Genomic DNA, 18,715 nt, shown 5'->3' on the forward strand with positions numbered 1-18,715 from the left:
GTCTCAGGCCAAAATCTCCTTAAGCTGATAAGCAACTTCAGCAAAGTCTCAGGATACAAAATCAATGTACAAAAATCACAAGCATTCTTACACACCAATAACAGACAAACAGCCAAATCATGAGTGAACTCCCATTCACAATTGCTTCAAAGAGAATAAAATACTTAGGAATCCAACTTACAAGGGACGTGAAGGACCTCTTCAAGGAGAACTGCAAACCACTGCTCAATGAAATAAAAGAGGATACAAACAAATGGAAGAACATTCCATGCTCATGGGTAGGAAGAATCAATATCATGAAAATGGCCATACTGCCCAAGGTAATTTATAGATTCAATGCCATCCCCATCAAGCTACCAATGACTTTCTTCACAGAATTGGAAAACAACTACTTTAAAGTTCATATGGAACCAAAAAAGAGCCTGCATGGCCAAGTCAATCCTAAGCCAAAAGAACAAAGCTGGAGGCATCACGCTACCTGACTTCAAACTATACTTACAAGGCTACAGTAACCAAAACAGCATGGTACTGGTACCAAAACAGAGATATAGATCAATGGAACAGAAAAGAGTCCTCAGAAATAATGCCGCATATCTACAACTATCTGATCTTTGACAAACCTGACAAAAACAAGCAATGGGGAAAGGATTCCCTATTTAATAATTGGTGCTGGGAAAAGTGGCTAGCCATATGTAGAAAGCTGAAACTGGATCCTTTCCTTACACGTTATACAAAAATTAATTCAAGATGGATTAAAGACTTAAATGTTAGACCTAAAACCATAAAAACCCTAGAAGAAAACCTAAGCATTACCATTCAGGACATAGGCATGGGCAAGTACTTCATGTCTAAAACACCAAAAGCAATGGCAACAAAAGCCAAAATTGACAAATGGGATCTAATTAAACTAAAGAACTTCTGCACAGCAAAAGAAACTACCATCAGAGTGAACAGACACCTACAAAATGGGAGAAAATTTTTGCAACCTACTCATCTGACAAAGGGCTAATATCCAGAATCTACAATGAACTCAAACAAATTTACAAGAAAAATCAAACAATCCCATCAAAAAGTGGGCTAAGGATATGAACAGACACTTCTCAAAAGAAGACATTTATGCAGCCAAAAGACACATGAAAAAATGCTCATCATCACTGGCCATCAGAGAAATGCAAGTGAAAACCACAATGAGATACCATCTCACACCAGTTAGAATGGCAATCATTAAAAAGTCAGGAAACAACAGGTGCTGGAGAGGATGTGGAGAACTAGGAACACTTTTACACTGTTGGTGGGACTGTAAACTAGTTCAACCATTGTGGAAGTCAGTGTGGCAATTCCTCAGGGATCTAGAACTAGAAATACCATTTGACCCAGCCATCCCATTACTGAGTATATACCCAAAGGACTATAAATCATGCTGCTATAAAGACACATGCACACGTATATTTATAGTGGCACTATTCACAATAGCAAAGACTTGGAACCAACCCAAATGTCCAACAATGATAGACTGGATTAAGAAAATGTGGCACATATACACCATGGAATACTATGCAGCCATAAAAAATGATGAGTTCATGTCCTTTGTAGGGACATGGATGAAATTGGAAATCATCATTCTCAGTAAACTATCACAAGGACAAAAAACCAAACACCGCATGTTCTCACTCATAGATGGGAATTGGACAATGAGAACACATGGACACAGGAAGGGGAACATCACACTCTGGGGACTGTTGTGGGGTGGGGGGAGTGGGGAGGGATAGCATTAGGAGATATACCTAATGCTAAATGACGAGTTAATGGGTGCAGCACACCAGCATGGCACATTTATACATATGTAAGTAACCTGCACATTGTGCACATGTACTCTAAAACTTAAAGTATAATACTAATAATAATAAAAATAATAATAATTGGGAATAATCATTCCAAAGCATAATCTAGAGCAAGGCCCTAAGTTTCTTTAATTCTTTGAAGACTGAGGTAGGTGAGGAAGCTGCAGAAGAAAAGTCGGAAGCTAGCAGAAGTTTGTTCAGGAGGTTTAAAGAAAGAAGCCATCTTCATAACATAAAAGTATAAGGTGAAACAAAAAGTACTGATGCTAAAGCTACAGCAAGTCATCCAGAAGATCTAGCTAAGATAATTGATGAAAGTGTCTATAATAACAGATTTGCAGTGTACACCAACAAAACCTTTTATTGGAAGAAAATGCCATCTGGGACTTTCATAGCTAGAGAGGAGAAGTTAATGCCTGGCTTCAAAGCTTCAAAGGACAGGCTGACTCCTTGTTAGGAGCTAATGCAGCTGGTGAGCTGGTGACTTTAAGTTGAAGCCAATGCTCATTTACCATTCCAAAAATTCTAGGACCGTTAAGAATTTTTTTTTAGTTATTATTATTATTTTTTCTTTTTTTTTTTTGAGACAGAATCTTGCTGTTCTCATCCAGGCTGTAGTGTACTGGCCTGATCTTGGCTCACTGCAACCTCCGCCTCCCGGGTTCAAGTGATTCTTCTGCCTCAGCCTCCCAGGTGTCTGAAATTACAGGCACCCACCACCATGCCTGGCTAATTTTTGTACTTTTAGTAAAGACAGGGTTTCACCATGTTTGCTAGGCTGGTCTCAATCTCCTGACCCCAAGTGGTCTGCCCGCCTCAGCCTCCCAAGTTGCCAGGATTACAGGCATGAGCCACTGTACCCTGCCAGAAATGTGTTAAATCTACTCTGCCTGTATTTTAGAAATGGAACAAAGCCTGTATGACAACATACCTCTTTATAGAATAGTAAGCCCACTGTGGAAAACTACTGCTCAGAAATAAAAGACTTCTTTCAAAACAATAGAGCTCAGTGACAACGCATCTAGTCACCCAAGAGCTCTGACGGAGATGTACAAGGAGTTTAATATTGTTCCTAAGCCTGCTAACACAACAACCATTCTGTAGCCCATGAATTAAGAAGTAATTTCAATTTTCAAGTCTTATGATTTAAGAAATACATTTTATATGTCTATAGCTGCCACAGAGAGCGATTCCTCTTATGGATCTGGCAAAGGAAATTGAAAACTTCTGGAAAAGATTCATCATTCTGTATGCCATTAAGAACGTGTGATTTACGGGAGGAGTTCAAAATAGAAACTTTAACAATTGTTTGGAAGAGGTCGATTTCACCCCTTATGAATGACTTTGCAGGATTAGATTTCAGTGGAAAAAGCAACTGGAGATATGGTATAAATAGCAAGAAAGCTGGAATTAAAAGTGAAGCCTGAAGATAGTTCATTAACAGTGAATCGCTGAATTGCTACAATCTTGTGATAAAACTTGAATGGATGAGGAGTTGCTTCTGATAGATGAGCAAGGAAGGTGCTGTTTTTGAGATGGAATCTACTCTGGGTGATGATTCTGTGGCAGATTGTTGAAATGACAAAAAGAATTTAGTGCATTACATAAACCCAGTGGATAAAACAGTGGTAAGGTTTGAGAGGATCGACTCCAATTTTAAAAGTAGCTCTACTATGGATAAAATGCTATCAAACAGCATTGCCTGCTACAGAGAACACTTTCTTGAAAGGGAAAAACCATAAATGTGACAAACTTCCTTGTGGACTTGTTTTAATAAATTGCCACAACCACACCAACCTTCAGCAGTTGCCAACCTGACCAATCAAGAGTCATCAATGTCAAGGCAAGACCCTCCAGGAAGAAAACGACTATGATTTACTGAATTATCAGATGATATATCTGAGGTATATAATATCTATATTTGTGTATACCAAGGTATATACATTTTAGATATAATTCTATTGCACACTTAATAGACTACAGTGTAGTACAAACATAACTTTTATATGCACTGAGAAACTAAAAAATTGATGTGGCTTACTTTATTGCAATATTCATCTCACTGTGGTGGTCTAGAACCAAAACATAATGTCAAAGGTATACCTGTATTGTGAAAGGTATAAAACGTGTTTCTTGGTTCAATTTTGGTAAATGGATGTCCAAATGTCCCAGCACTCTTTGTTGAAAAGACTATCATTTCTCTATTGAATTGCCCTTTCTCCTCTGTCAAAATTTTGTAGACTGTATTTTTGTAGGTCTATCTCCAGGCTCTTTTTCTGTTCCATTTATCAACTAGTTAGGAAACACGCTCACTATTTCCAGTTTCTGGATGAGATTGTAAAGATTTGACACCATTTCTTCCTGGAATGGTTGATAGAATTAACCAGTAAAACCATTTGAGCCTGGTGCTTACTTCTGTGTAAGACCATCATCACTGATTCAATTTCTTAAATAGATACAGTGATAATCAGGTTACATATTGCTAATTTTGTGAGTTTGGGTAGTTTATATGTTTCAAGGATCTAATCCATTTCATCTAAGGCATTAATTTTTGGCCATAGAATTGTTCATAGCATTCTGTAATTTTCCTTTCAATGTGCACTATAGGATCAGGATTGATGACAGTTGTTTTATTTGTGATGTTGTTAAATTGTGTCTTCTCGATTTTTTCTTAGATAGCATGATGAGAGGTTTATCAATTTCACTGATCTTTTAAATGAATTAGCTTTCAATTACTTTAAAGTTCTTTGATTTAAATATTTATTCTGCTTAGTGTTCTCTCAGGTTTCTATATCTGTGGTTTGGTTTCTGTTGATATTTTGAAGACTTCTTGTCAATTCTTTCTTCATGTATTTCTTCTGCTCAAATTTCTCTTCTACTTCTGATATTCCAGTTACACAACTGGAATCATAAAATTCCTTTTGAAGATTTTCCACAATTTTGGGATCTTCTGATATGCTTTTGTTTGTTTTCGCATTTTAGTTTGCTGTCATGCTTGCTGTGGCTATAGGTTCTAGAAAATTCAGTTTCCTCTACTGTCCTTGTTTATGTCTCCTCTCTTGGCTCTGGGTTTCCTAAGGACTCCTCAGAGAGATTCTGTGCCTTACAGCTTTCTCAGCTACAATCCACAATTATTTTTACTGGAGCCTGCTTGATGTAGTGTTTAGGTGTGAAAGATGGAGAGTATAATATAATCTTCCAATTAAGTGTCAGTCTTTTAGTAGACTTCTGTCACCTTCAAACATGTTTATCCAGTGGAATAGCTTCTCCCCCTCAGCTCCCTCAATACTCTAGTCTTCTCCATGGCTACCGTGCTCTGTTTCTTTAAATACTTGAACATGTTGACATTTCCCCTTTAGTTGAGACGGGAAGATAGAAGGAGATAAAGTGGAAGAAATACCCTTCTCCCATGTGGGATAAAGACCTGCAAAGTTCTTCCATCTAGAGAGTAAACATTTATTACAGAGAGAGCTCAGTTTGTGTTCCACAATGATTACACTCTTACCATCCTCCTGCCAGAGTCATGCACATGAGAACCAGGATGAGGTTTCCAGAGGTAAAACTCACAAAAATATGCCATCCCCAAGACTACAGACCCACAAATTTCTCATTCAGTTACCATTTTGCAATCAGCCTCCCACTTTAGTCAAAAGTACCATGTAAGTTTTTCTACCAGTTTATGGTTTCAGCACCTTTTACTCCTTGTAGGCATATCTTGACTGTGACTCTATGCATTTGCCTGTCTTTCTAGATTTGAGGGTGTTGGTTTGTTCTGTGACCTCAAAGAAGAATGGGACAAAGAAAAATTGTTGATTTTCAGTTTGTGAGGATGGAAATGAAAACCTTCTAATTCTTTACAGTCATAGCTGAAGCTAAAAGTCTCTTCAATTTTTATGCAGTGTCAAGGCTGAATATGTATTACCTATATCTTATAGTTTCTAAAAGTACCTCCTAGGGGTGATGGTAACAAGACACACTTAAACCTTAGAATTCTTCTTTTGGGAATACTTACAATTTTAGAAATCTTTTATGCTATTTAAAGCAGACAAAGTTTTCTTAAATTTACTGAGAAAAGTCACTAGAGAATTCTGCTAAGAGAAGTCACTCTATTGATAGCTATTATTTACAAATCATATCTAGATTTATGATATGGAAAGAGCAGAAGGAAGAAGAACATTTCGATCTTTGAAAATAACAAATAAAAATATTTTATCCTTTTATGGGGGAGATGAGATACAGAAATACTTTTTCTCCTGTAGCAACCATTTCTTTGTTGAGAAGATGTTTATGAATCTAGAGGGACAAGAGAAATAATTTTTTATTTTCACTGAAGGTACACAGACATAGAAACCCAACAGCTTATGACTACCAATTTAATGTGTGATCTTGGGGGAGACAGATGTTTCAGCTTTGTCCTCTGTAAATTGTGAGTGATATTTTCACTCCACAGGTGTCTTGTAATTATATTAGAAAATGCATCTAAAACTTCAAAATCACTACATATAGTTGACATTCAGTGATTATTAGTTGTTGTTGTTTTTATTTTTTATTTAATTCTGTTGCCTACCATTTCCCAACCTAACTCACATTTTTCTGAAGGGACATTGGTCCTTACATTCTCACTTAACATTGGATTTGCCCTTGTGAAGAAGAATAGAAGACACAACCTGACAATAGAAAAATAACATTGAGTTATTTGTATAACCTGAAATCTATGCTACTTACTTTGCACATATTATCTTATTAATTTTCACAGTGTGTCTGTGTTTACAGATGTAAATCTAAAGACCAAGATATTTTAATGGCTTTGCCTAAGATCATGCACATAGAGAGTGAATAAACTAGAATTTCAATATAGTTCTATCAACAGCGATAACCATATTCTTATAAGAAATCTAGAATTTCATAAAATATATTTCATATATGAATAATGTCAATTTTCAGGAAATGGACAAAGACTGACCACCTAAAACATGATAACATAATTGTAGTATCTGAAGCTAGATATCAGGTAGATGCAAATTCAAAAGCAAATCTGAATAGAATATGTTTTGCCTAATGAAATTGGCATGGTCAAGTGAAGAAGGAACTGATGGGATTTTCTTGTCAATCACATTTTCATAAGCAAACAGCATTATTTTAAAAAGTACTTACAAGATAGATATATAAAACAAAAGTAGAAGCTCCATATAATATGATCTTCCAAAATATTCAACCTTCTCTCTGCTATAAATCAGAAACTAAGCTAACTTTAGGATGCTGACTTGGTAAGGCTTAGGCTAACAGAATAACTAAAATAATGGCATAAAATATGTTTTAAACATGCATGCTTGTGTGGATATTTTAGAAAAGTGTGATTGGTATTGCTCAATACACAAAGTAATTTTATCAGAGATTGCATCTGGAAGAAAAATGAGAGAATTTGCTTCTTGAATTGGTGTATCATGAGCCACACGTGAAAAAAAATTTGCTATCTATATGTGCAATTACTGTGAAATAAACATGTGTCATCTGAGGTTATTTTTAGTTAGATGATGTTTATCTAAAACCCCTTGTTTCATTTAACTGTAACTGATACTTGATCTGTAGTGTTATTGTTTTACAGCCTGATAATAAGGCATATAATATCTAGGAATGATAAAAAAATGCCTGATAGGAAGTCATTATACACAGTATATCCTATCTGATGATATGCAACAATTTTTTTCTTCAAGTACTTACTGAATATCTAATCATTGACAGGCTGTGGGCTAAGCACTAGAAATATAAGAAACTCAACCCAAAAATCACAATGAAAATTGTGTTAACAATTTAGCACATAATGACTATAAATGTTATGATCACAAGTATACCCAAGTTTGGTTCATATGAAGCCAAATTCCTTTATTTTTTTAAGATTTCTCATATATCACAAAAGACAAAGACCAGATTAGAAAGTATAGGTTGGTGGTCTGCCAACCTATTCTTTTAATTACAATAGGTCTAAGTAAACATTCTTGAATCGTAGCTCACTGGTGCTATGGAGGTTAGCATTCTGCATTTGACAGATTTAAATCCAAATTCGCCTACCTAGCGGCGTGTAACTTTTGAGCAATTATTTAACCTCTTCAAGCTTCATAGTTTTTTTAAACATTGAACAAGATAAAATTTAAAACCTTTATAGAACATAATATGATCTTAATTTTTCCTCTTAAGATTTATAGGAGCAGTTAAAAATAATTCCTCTCTTTTTCTTTGAGACTACAGAAATGTTCTTACAAAAACCTAAGTTGTGTGGTAGAGCTGAGATTAATATTGTGAGAACTAGAGTGAGACAGACTCCAAAGTACTTAAATTAAGGTTCTATTCCTTATAGACTGTGTTTGTGAGAAGATACTCTAAACCCAATGAAACTTAGTTCCTTACCTATAAAATGCAGATAAAAGTATCTATTTTATATAATTAATCTGAGAAATACATTTTCAAAAAAACCTGTTAATCATCTGTACTCGTTAAATTATGACCCTTATTCAATTAAAATCAAGCAACTTTCTTCACTCTCATTTATTCTTACTATTATTAACATGTAATGAGGTAGAATGTAGGCTGAAAGCAGTATTTCCTATCTCAGATGCCTATGGAGGAAAGCAATATAAATAGGTGAATCTGAAGCAAAATAATACAAAAAGAGAAGGAGAGTGTGTAAACTGCAAAGTGCATGCCCACGGAGAACCTTTTCAAATTGAAAAAGTTTTAAATGCTAGTTGGACGAAACAAATCAAACCTGTAGGACTAATCTGACCCATTGGTCCCATTCTAAGTGGCTTAACATGGTGCACGAGGGAGTTAGAGTATAAAACAAATAACTTTGTTCTCTATAGTACTTTTCTTCTTTTTGGCCCGGGGAAAATGTCTCCATGTGTTAGAACATAGGTTGTATATTCTTCAAAGATGCATGGCCCTAGAGGTTTAAAAATAATTTCAGAAATCACACACCTAGTGATTGTAAATCTATATAGTAACTTTTGGAAGAACTGTTGTTGGTAGGTGACTTACACCATTTTTGCAGTGGGAATTAAAAATAAAACACACAAGGAAACTATATCTGTACTTGTAACTTTAAAGAATTTTGTGCATGCTCCTCTGAGGTTAATCCTAATTCAAGACTAAGGAAAAAAATGTGAAAAGCGGCAGAGAGCTATGCTTGTCATAGCCTAGTAGGACCTGTCATGTTCCACATCACACCCTAATATCTAAAGTAAATATTTATTAGAATACAATTTTGAGGCCTTCCTTATTACAGGAAAATGAGTTTGCTCTTGGTGTTTTCTTAAATTGTCTATTTTTAATCTTATCAACTCCTAGGCAACTTTTTCGTCCAATAGATAAGCATGGAAAATTTATAATCTTCAGTCTTTCTTTGTGTACACCTGGTATGCTCAGAGCTGTTGGAGAAAAATGTCGCAGTTAGAAATTTAGGCTCTCGGTGGGACATAGGCAACTCTTCCATGTTTCCAGAATCAGCTTAGCTCCCATTATCCACAACAGCCATTTAAAACCTCCTCCACCCTCATTATATCTCCAAACCCATGTCTCTACTCTGAGCTTGAGATTCCACCTTCTACTTCATAAAGAAAGAAGAGACTCTCAGAAAAGACTAGTCAATTTTATGAATCTTAATTAGAGAATAAACAAAACCCTCCCCTATCTGGCACATTCTCCCCAAACCACCCCAAAACACAACTACACTAACAAAAACAACTGAGACTAAAGATAAACTATGGCTTCTAAACAAAGAGGTAATAACAAAGCTTCTCATTGTGTTGCAAATTAAGTGAGGTGCCTTTTATTAGAAGTTACAATTAGCCTATCTGTTCCTTGAGGATAGAGAGGAATTTCATTTGACTTCTCAAATACTTTCTGTACCACTCATCAATAGTGGCATCTCATAAATATTTGGCTGAATAGATTAGTATACACGTGTAAGTACCAGAGTACTTAGATGCATTCTTGAAAGACTAAAATATACGACAATCTTTCATTGATATATGATTCTCTGACAATTATGTGAAGAAAATATGAAATTTAAATCTAAATTGTGTAGCTTAGAAGAAAAACATAGTCCATCCCCTTAGAAATAAAATCAATGCATTAGCTACTCAATTGTAGAATAGAATGTACTAAACATGAAAGCATTTCAATTAGGTCTTCCTTTTTCCAATTAAGCTGTTTCATTTCTTTCACATTCTTACAGTTCTCTTTCCAAATTGCATTGAAAGCTATATGAATGAACGGGGTTTCATTTCCACAAGCTGCTTATTACTTTTATGATTTTTGGTACATATAACATAAATAAACTGGCCATCAGAGAAATGCAAATCAAAACCACAATGAGATACCATCTCATACCAGTTAGAATGGCAATCATTAAAAAGTCAGGAAACAACAGGTTCTGGAGAGGATGTGGAGAAATAAGAACACTTTTACACTGTTGGTGGGGACTGTAAACTAGTTCAACCATTGTGGAAGTCAGTGTGGCAATTCCTCAGGGATCTAGAACTAGAAATACCATTTGACCCAGCCATCCCATTACTGAGTATATACCCAAAGGACTATAAATCATGCTGCTATAAAGACACATGCACACGTATGTTTATCGCGGCACTATTCACAATAGCAAAGACTTGGAACCAACCCAAATGTCCAACAATGATAGACTGGATTAAGAAAATGTGGCACATATACACCATGGAATACTATGCAGCCATAAAAAATGATGAGTTCATGTCCTTTGTAGGGACATGGATGAAATTGGAAATCATCATTCTCAGTAAACTATCACAAGGACAAAAAACCAAACACCGCATGTTCTCACTCATAGATGGGAATTGAACAATGAGAACACGTGGACACAGGAAGGGGAACATCACACTCTGGGGACTGTTGTGGGGTTGGGGGAGTGGGGAGGGATAGCATTAGGAGATATACCTAATGCTAAATGACGAGTTAATGGGTGCAGCACACCAGCATGGCACATGTATACATATGTAACTAACCTGCACATTGTGCACATGTACCCTAAAACTTAAAGGATAATAATAAAAAAAAAAGTATGCAATTTCACAATGGAAAAATTTTTTATTCAATACTTACCCATTCAAAGGAAGAGGGGGTGTAGAGGGAAGGAAAGAGTAAAGAAATACTGTATGGAGAAAAGTAGGAAAGTATATTAAAATGAAGCAAATCAAATAGGGGTGCATAAAAAGAGAATGGTGTAAATAGAAACAGCCTGTAAACTGGGGAAAGCAGATATTTATGCCTAAATCTGCTTTCCATAGAATATGTGCTCCTGGAGGAATGGCAGCATGTCACCTCCTGCTTTGATTCTATGTAGTCTCTGCTCTGCTGTGTTTAGTGTGGTCACTGAAAAATTATATTAACTCACCAACTAAGTAACCCAGCAGCATAAGTAGAGGTCTTCTTGCTGCAATGCTTTAAGGTATGAATTAAAATGTAAACTGGTAAATTATCAATAAAGCTGACATAAAACTTTTTGTTCCCAAAGATAGAAAGCAAAAAGAGCATGGCCTTGGGGTAATACACTATGCCTAAAGGCTAACCAAGTCTCCAGCCACATATTATATTAGAGTGTTATTACATTTTGTCTATTAGGGGCATAGTACCCTTGAGATTTTACAGGGTTTTGAACATAAATCCTTTGGAAGCTCTAATTTTAGTTGATGCAGAAGTATATACCATGGCTCTAATGCTCATGAATGGGACAATATACCAAATCATTTCTTGAGATGCCTAATGTGAGTGTCAAATTACCAGCCTCCACCAAGCAAAAGGGAATGCTAATTAAAGGGGTAGGACATGTTCCAGTTGTTCTAATCAAAGAGAGCTTAATCCTTCCATAAGCTGGCTGGCTTTGTTGGAGGAAATTCTGAACAACCTTGTTACTTTTGATAACTGTAAGCCACTGACTCATGGCCCCTTGACAGCTAGCTGAGCATGTAATAACATTTCTCTGTATTTTGGGACTGGCTTAGCTGGCTTTATAATAGATTATTGTGGATGTTAAAGTGAAATGTTAGTCTTTCTTTAAAGCTCTGTATTCCCCAGTAATTAAGGTTATAAAAAGGGCACAGAGCACAATACTGTTTCAAGGTCGCCAAACACAGATGTAACAGCCTTCCGTTTGTGTAAATAAGGTATTAACCATAGGTTTATTCTGCAATTGTGTCATGAAAAATAGGTTTTTCAAGAACAGTTTAATAGAAAAGCATTTTGAGGTGTATTAAAAATGCGGTCTTTTTCCTTTTAGTTCAAAAAAATTAATGGCTAAGAGGAAAAATCAAGTGACATTATAGAAAAGCAGTAAAAACGATAAAAAAAAAAAGAAGTTGAATGTTATCAGGTAAGAGAAAAACCAGACACAAGTGCACAACTTCATCCAAAAGCATTTGAGGTCATTTGGTATAATAAGAATCTTGGAGAAATCACAACCTTTGGCATGAAAATGTCTACAGAGACCACACAAACAAGGATTTCACTTTTACTTTCAAGGTGGTGACAGTTATTGGCTGTTTGTGTTTCCGATTCATTGTAAATGGAAAAAAGCCAAAGAAAAAGTTCACCAAAGAGAGCCATTTAACTACTTGTTTCAAATAAAGAAATTAATATAATTTCATTCAACTCTAGTTTTGATATTCACTCACCATTTGAATGAGATCCTCATATTAGTCATTACAATAGGGAGAAATGTTTCATCCTGTATTTCATAAGAAATACTCCTTTGTGATGTTCATTTGCTATATAACTTAAAATTTAAAAAAAGAAGAAAGCTCTTCTATTTAAGTATTGCAAAGGTAAAACAACTTCCTATAGAGCAGAAGAGTCACACTAATGGTGTAGACTTCTATTCAGAATGATCCTAGCGTTGGGAAAGAATAATTTACAGTGTCAGGAAGGCAATCATATTTTCATTCTACCAGATAAGATCAGGGCAGGTACTCCCCAAGGAGTGAGGCTCTTTGCTTCATTTTTGAACTGATGAAAGAGAAGATGTGCAATGCTTTATAGTGCAGACAAAAATGTCATACCAGTAATTGCTATGCAGGTGCTTAAGTACATGCCAAGTAAAACCATAAATTATATTTCTCATGCATTAGGCATTAATTGTGTCGGTAGTTAAAAGAACAATTACCACATAATATGTAACTTTTTAAAAGATGGAAATAATCAAGAAAATCATTCAGATAACCTTTTGTAAAGAATTAAGACTTCTTTTCCTTTCAAGGTATTTTACATCTCTTGTCCTATTTATCTTCTAAGCAGAAATCTTCATTTTAGTAAAACTCCTTCTATCAGGATGCCATATAGAATATACTGAAGGTGTCTAAAATTTGTCAGATACAACTATAATTAATAATGTAATGAATTTATTTAAAGTTATATGATAGAAAAAAATGAAGCTTGCATAATGTTCAGGAAGTCAAAGCCATCCTAGAATTCACCAGCCCCTTCTCTCTAACCACATAAATTTACTCAGTTCGAACTTTGTAATAAGACAGATAAATGTCTCACACCCCAAAACCCAGTAACCTTATTTGGCCTGCTCCTTCTGTCTGCACTTTTCTTGACATAAATTCCACCTCACATTGGCTTCTGGTGAGCCCATTAACCCAATCTTGGCCAATCAGAGCTCTGCTTTGGTATTGTTCAAACAAAAGTTGGAGAAAATAAGTGTCATTTTCCTATACAGCCTTAAGGCAATAAACAGACAAGCACTGCACTGACCTTGGCTGTGGATCAAGTATCACTGAGTGATTAACACATAGAGGGAAACTAAGGAAAGAGCAAGAGAAGGAAATATGCTATTCAGGTTTCTGAGTCCAGTTATCCTAAGGCTATCTGTACCATTGACCTTTCTGAGATTCAGTTAAGTAAGCTTATTTCCAACCCGCTCTGGTCTGTGATACTTCAGGTTTCTGTTTACTTATAAACAAAGGAATTGTGGAACATACATCTGCATTCCCACTTGACTTTGTTATTTGTTAACATATTATGTATTAATTGCTTAAGATGTATACTGCTTGCATTTGAGTATAACTCAACCAGTTCCTAAGTAAACAAACTTGGTCTCTGGTCTAAGCCTCTCTGTGATTTAAATCTCTTACACATAATTACGTACTAACCATACTTGCCTCATGTGAACATTATGAAGATTAAATTAGTTAAAATATGTAAAGGAGTTAGACAAGTACCTGGCACAAGATAATAAAAACCATTAAAACAATAATATTAGGTTTTATTAAGATTATAGAGCTGGCCACTTAAATTGATCATTACCTTTAATCATAACAAAAATGTGTATCAGGTTGCTATTATTCTTCCCATTTTACAGATAAACAGAATAAAGAAGTGGCAGCCTCAGCATTGAATCTCAAGTTTGTTTGAATCTGATTTTTATGTTTTTCCTTTCTATCAGGATACCTTTGGCAATATTAATATGAAACTTATCCCATAACATTATAGTCTATAATATAAGATTCTGCCTTCTCTTCTAGATCATAAATTCTGTAATGGTGGTAACTATACTGAGTTCACTTTGCTAACCTCAGTGCTTAGCAGTGTACATGTTCTCCCTCTCCAACTCTTCCCCTTCCTCCTTTTCTTTCCTCCCTTTGCCATGTGAAATACACATGTTCAAGGGCTGTGTGATCTGTCTGAAATTATTTGGTATGACGCTCTTGGCTACCCATATTTTCCCCACTTCCACAGAATATTGTCATCCAAGGAAGAGCCTTATTTGCTTCCTTTGTCTGTGGCCTGATAATTGCTTTCTACTTAGATCTGGTAGGTTCTCTTTCCTGCTGATAACCTTGTATCTGTTCTCACTGTTCTGGGTTTTGGAGGGAGTTTCCAAAATAACTCAGCTTTCTATCTATGGTCCTACTCTCTCCAATATTCATGGCTTATGACATGTTCCCACAATCACATTGCCTTTTATTCTAAATTTCCAGCATAGGCCTGGTATGGAGCTCTACTCTAGATCTGCTAACCTTGATTATTAATGATTAGTAATTGCCACTTTTGATCCAAATTCTTTCTTGCTAGCACCAAGATAAATGTTCCTACTCCAAAGAGCAACATCTCTCTCCAGCACATAGCACTTATGCGTTTCCAGAAGGCCATGCTATCACCACAAGGCCATGCTATCACCACAAAGCCATGAAGTTATAGTATGTACATATAAAGCCAGAAGTGATTAGAGCAAAGGTGGCTAGGTAATATAATGTCACCATGAGTCTCAACGGCTGTGGTAAAGCCTAGCAAGTTACCAGTGACAAGTTAGGCCAGCTGAGGTCAGTGAAGTTCATGGCTCAGTAAAGAATGGTTTATATTGTAGGAGATTCTTTCTTACTTTTAGTTATATAAAGAAATGTCTTCATTACCAGATCAAACTTCCTTGTACTTGTAATATATTTTTAGTTAGCATGAGTGCCATATCCAAACATCTGTTATCTATTACCCTGAAAATACTAAATTTATTTTAATAATTTCATAAGATTTGTTTAAATGTATTACTTATATTTAAACAACTAAAGTATCTCTGTGTAGTCAATAACAGGTCATATAAAAATGTCCTGAGACTGTTAAAAATGACCTAATTAATATTAACTTATTAACTTTGGCAATCTTTGTTTAATAATTAATCTAATAGACTTTTTCAGTGTAACACAGTAGCTATCATTACAAATATTTCTGAATACTGCAAAAGTGGTAGGTTAGAGAGCTATGCAAATGGAAATTATGTGCCCCTTTTCTCAATACATAATAGAGTGAAGACATAAATAAAACCTAGATTAGTTAGCTTTCTATGGGGATTACCCAATAAACAGTGAGACATATGGATTACTACTTACAGGCCACCAGTGGGGAGTGTAAATTTGTGTAGCCACATTGGAACACTATTTGGTGTTACTATTACACTCCTATATCCTGTGACCCACCAATTACACTTCTAGCTATACCCAACAAAGAAGAAATGAACAATTTTGCCAAAGACGGGTAAAATAATATTAGTAGCACTGTAATAGTCACAAACTAGGGGAAAAAACTCAACAGTTTATTAGAGTAAATTTTTCTTTTAAATGTGGTATAGTATACTAGAAAATATTATAAAGTAATGAATGCACAAATGAATACAACATGTAAAAACGGGAATGAGTGTCTTAGTTCATTTGAGCTGCTGTACCAAAATACCATAGCTTATAAACAACATAAATTTATTTCTCACAGTTCTGGAGGCTGGGAAGTCCAAGGTCAAGTTGCCAAGAGATTTGGTATGTAATGAACGTCCACATTCCAGTTTTTGCTGTGGCTTCACATAGTGGAAGGAGTGAGCAAGCTCCCTTGGGTCTGCTTTTTAAGAACACTAATTCTGTCCATAAGTGAAACTCTCATAACCTAATCACTTTTCAAAGGCCCCACCTCCTAATACCATCATTGTGGAGTTAGGATTTCAACATATAAACTTTGGGGAACACAAACTATCAGATTATAGCAAAGAGCTTCACTTACATAGTATTGCAGAAAACAAATCAGACTCAAAATCATATACCATATTTTAAACAACATAGACTGGATTTGTCTGAACTGTATACAAATAGAAGCCAAGATAATGATTATGCTTTGGTGGGGTATAGCAATTGGAAGTTATTACAAAGGGGTCTTCCTGGATACTGATAATGGTTACTTGGGTGTATTCACCTTCTGAAAATGCATTGAGCTCTGCAAGGATAATATGTGCACCTTTCAGGTTGTATGCTATCCTGCAACAGTTTAACGAAACCAGAAAAAGGAGTCGTACAGTAGAGTATTAAAAATGGCAACTTCTGCAAGTGTTCAGAGAAGGGATCACCCAATTCTAGAGCAGCTGAAAAATGTCTTATAAGAGACATAAAGATTAACTGGAATCTTGAAAGTATAGGTGTAATCCAGCATTACTCATCTTGTTATGAGTACCTGTTCCGATAAAGTTCAACTGAAAATAAGAGACAGAAAATGAACAAATGAATCAGTGTAGCTCAAACAAGATAAAATGCATTTCTCTCTCACTGAAAAACAAATTTGGAGATATGTTCAGTTGAGGTATGGCAGATCCAAAGTATTCATCAGAAACCCAGCCTCCTGTCTTTCCACTGCCTCATGATACCATACGTACAGCTATATTTTTGAAATCTTTATGGTTCAATATGACTGCTGAAGATGCAGATATCAGAGCCAAGGTGTTGACTGGTAGAAGCAAACAACATAGAAGGACAAACAATGGATTTTGGAGTTGAATCCATTCCCCTGAAACTATTATCTAATAGTTGCCACACTACCTTTCCACCACATTTCTGTCTCATTTGTCACATGATCACGCTTATCCTATAAAGAAGTTGAAAAATGCAGTCTTCCATTCTGAGAGGTAAAGTGCCAAGTTAAAATGAAAGTCTATTATTAAGACAGGAAAAAGGATTTTATTATAGGTAGATAAAGTTTTCTGTCACAATGAAGAAAAATAAACTGGTTATTCCCAAGGGACTACTTTTGTGAAACACCGGCTTGAAAGGATAGGACTGATTTTGAAGCAGAATAGAAGTGATTTCTCTGTAACCACAGAGGATAGTAAAATGTGGCATATGTCTTTGTACAACACATGTTTAAGTGGCCATATTTTCAAGTTTTATTTTATTTATTTTTATTTATTTATCCATGTCCAGAAAAAAATGGCAAAATATAGAACAAAAGACATTTCCTTGCATAGTTGCAAAGCTAAACACGAAAGTAGCTTTTGCAAATTTTTTGAAATACATCAGAATCCAAAGTTGCCTCTATGTAAGCAGGGACACCTATTAGTGATAGGTTTCTTTGATTTTAGAAATTCTTGCTATAACTTTCCAGCAAAGATACTGATTATGGTAATTTCCCCCTATATTCTTTCCCTAAAATTAAATGTGCTTAGAGATCATAACTATAAATGATTCTGAGATAACACTTACACTAACAAACTCAAGAGGTATTTCAAAGGACTCTTTTGAATTTTTTCGACAAAAGGGTTTCAACTTAGAGGAATAACCTCTGAGATGATTAAAGGCTGTCTCCTACTAGATTTTACATCCCTTGAAGGCAAGAACAATTCATTTTTAAGTGTCTCCCGAATCTAGTACAGTGTCCAGTAATTAATAGATTTTCAAAGTTGATGATGGGATAAATGAGTTGGATTGTGGCAGTGAAAACTAGCTGTACACACACATAAAAAATGTGTCCTATTCCTTGTATAATGTGAAACTAATGATGGAACATTGCTGTTCAGGACTTTTTGAATCCAGGTGCGGTTAGGTGACCACTTGTCACCAATTGAATGGAGCAGGAATAATGAGTAAGTCTCTGGGCTAGAGCATTTAAAAAGCAAGTTTATTGTGCTCTCTCCTTCTGCAAGTTGAAAATAGATATTCTGAGATCCTGCAGATGGTAAAACCATAATACGAAGCTGATCTAGATTGTATCACCAAATGGCATAAAGCTACTTTCAAATTTGAACAGCTGTATTAGACTTTTGGCTGAGCAAGAAATAACATTCTATTGGATTAAGCCATTGGGATTTGGTGGTCCATTTGTTTAAAAGGCAACATAAATACAACAGAGACAAAGATGACTTCCTAGAGATAAAATATACAGCTTCATTTTTTGTTGAGTTACTGTGAATCTGAATTGAGAGAGGTGAATGAATGCTAGTCTAATTGTACTGAAAGCTTTTGTATGTACCAGCACCTGTACTTGTATAAGTCATTTGGGATTTTTTTCTTAATATAGATAGGCATATATGTAAATATCATTAT

At 35.4% G+C, this 18,715-nt stretch overlaps 1 long non-coding RNA gene across 1 annotated transcript in view, besides 1 other annotated feature; it reads left to right on the forward strand.

Moving 5' to 3' along the window:
• LOC105370245 (uncharacterized) overlaps positions 1–18,715 on the forward strand; it is a 79,468-nt gene that overhangs the window by 13,704 nt on the left and 47,049 nt on the right. The window lies entirely within an intron of this gene.
• Positions 11,183–12,132: an enhancer, noted in NCBI's record as "VISTA enhancer hs881". NCBI's record gives its function as "enhancer in: nose[6/8]" and the evidence as "EXISTENCE:transgenic organism evidence [ECO:0001131][PMID:17130149]".

Source organism: Homo sapiens, chromosome 13 (assembly GCF_000001405.40).
Source record: "Homo sapiens chromosome 13, GRCh38.p14 Primary Assembly".
Lineage (NCBI taxonomy): Eukaryota > Metazoa > Chordata > Mammalia > Primates > Hominidae > Homo > Homo sapiens.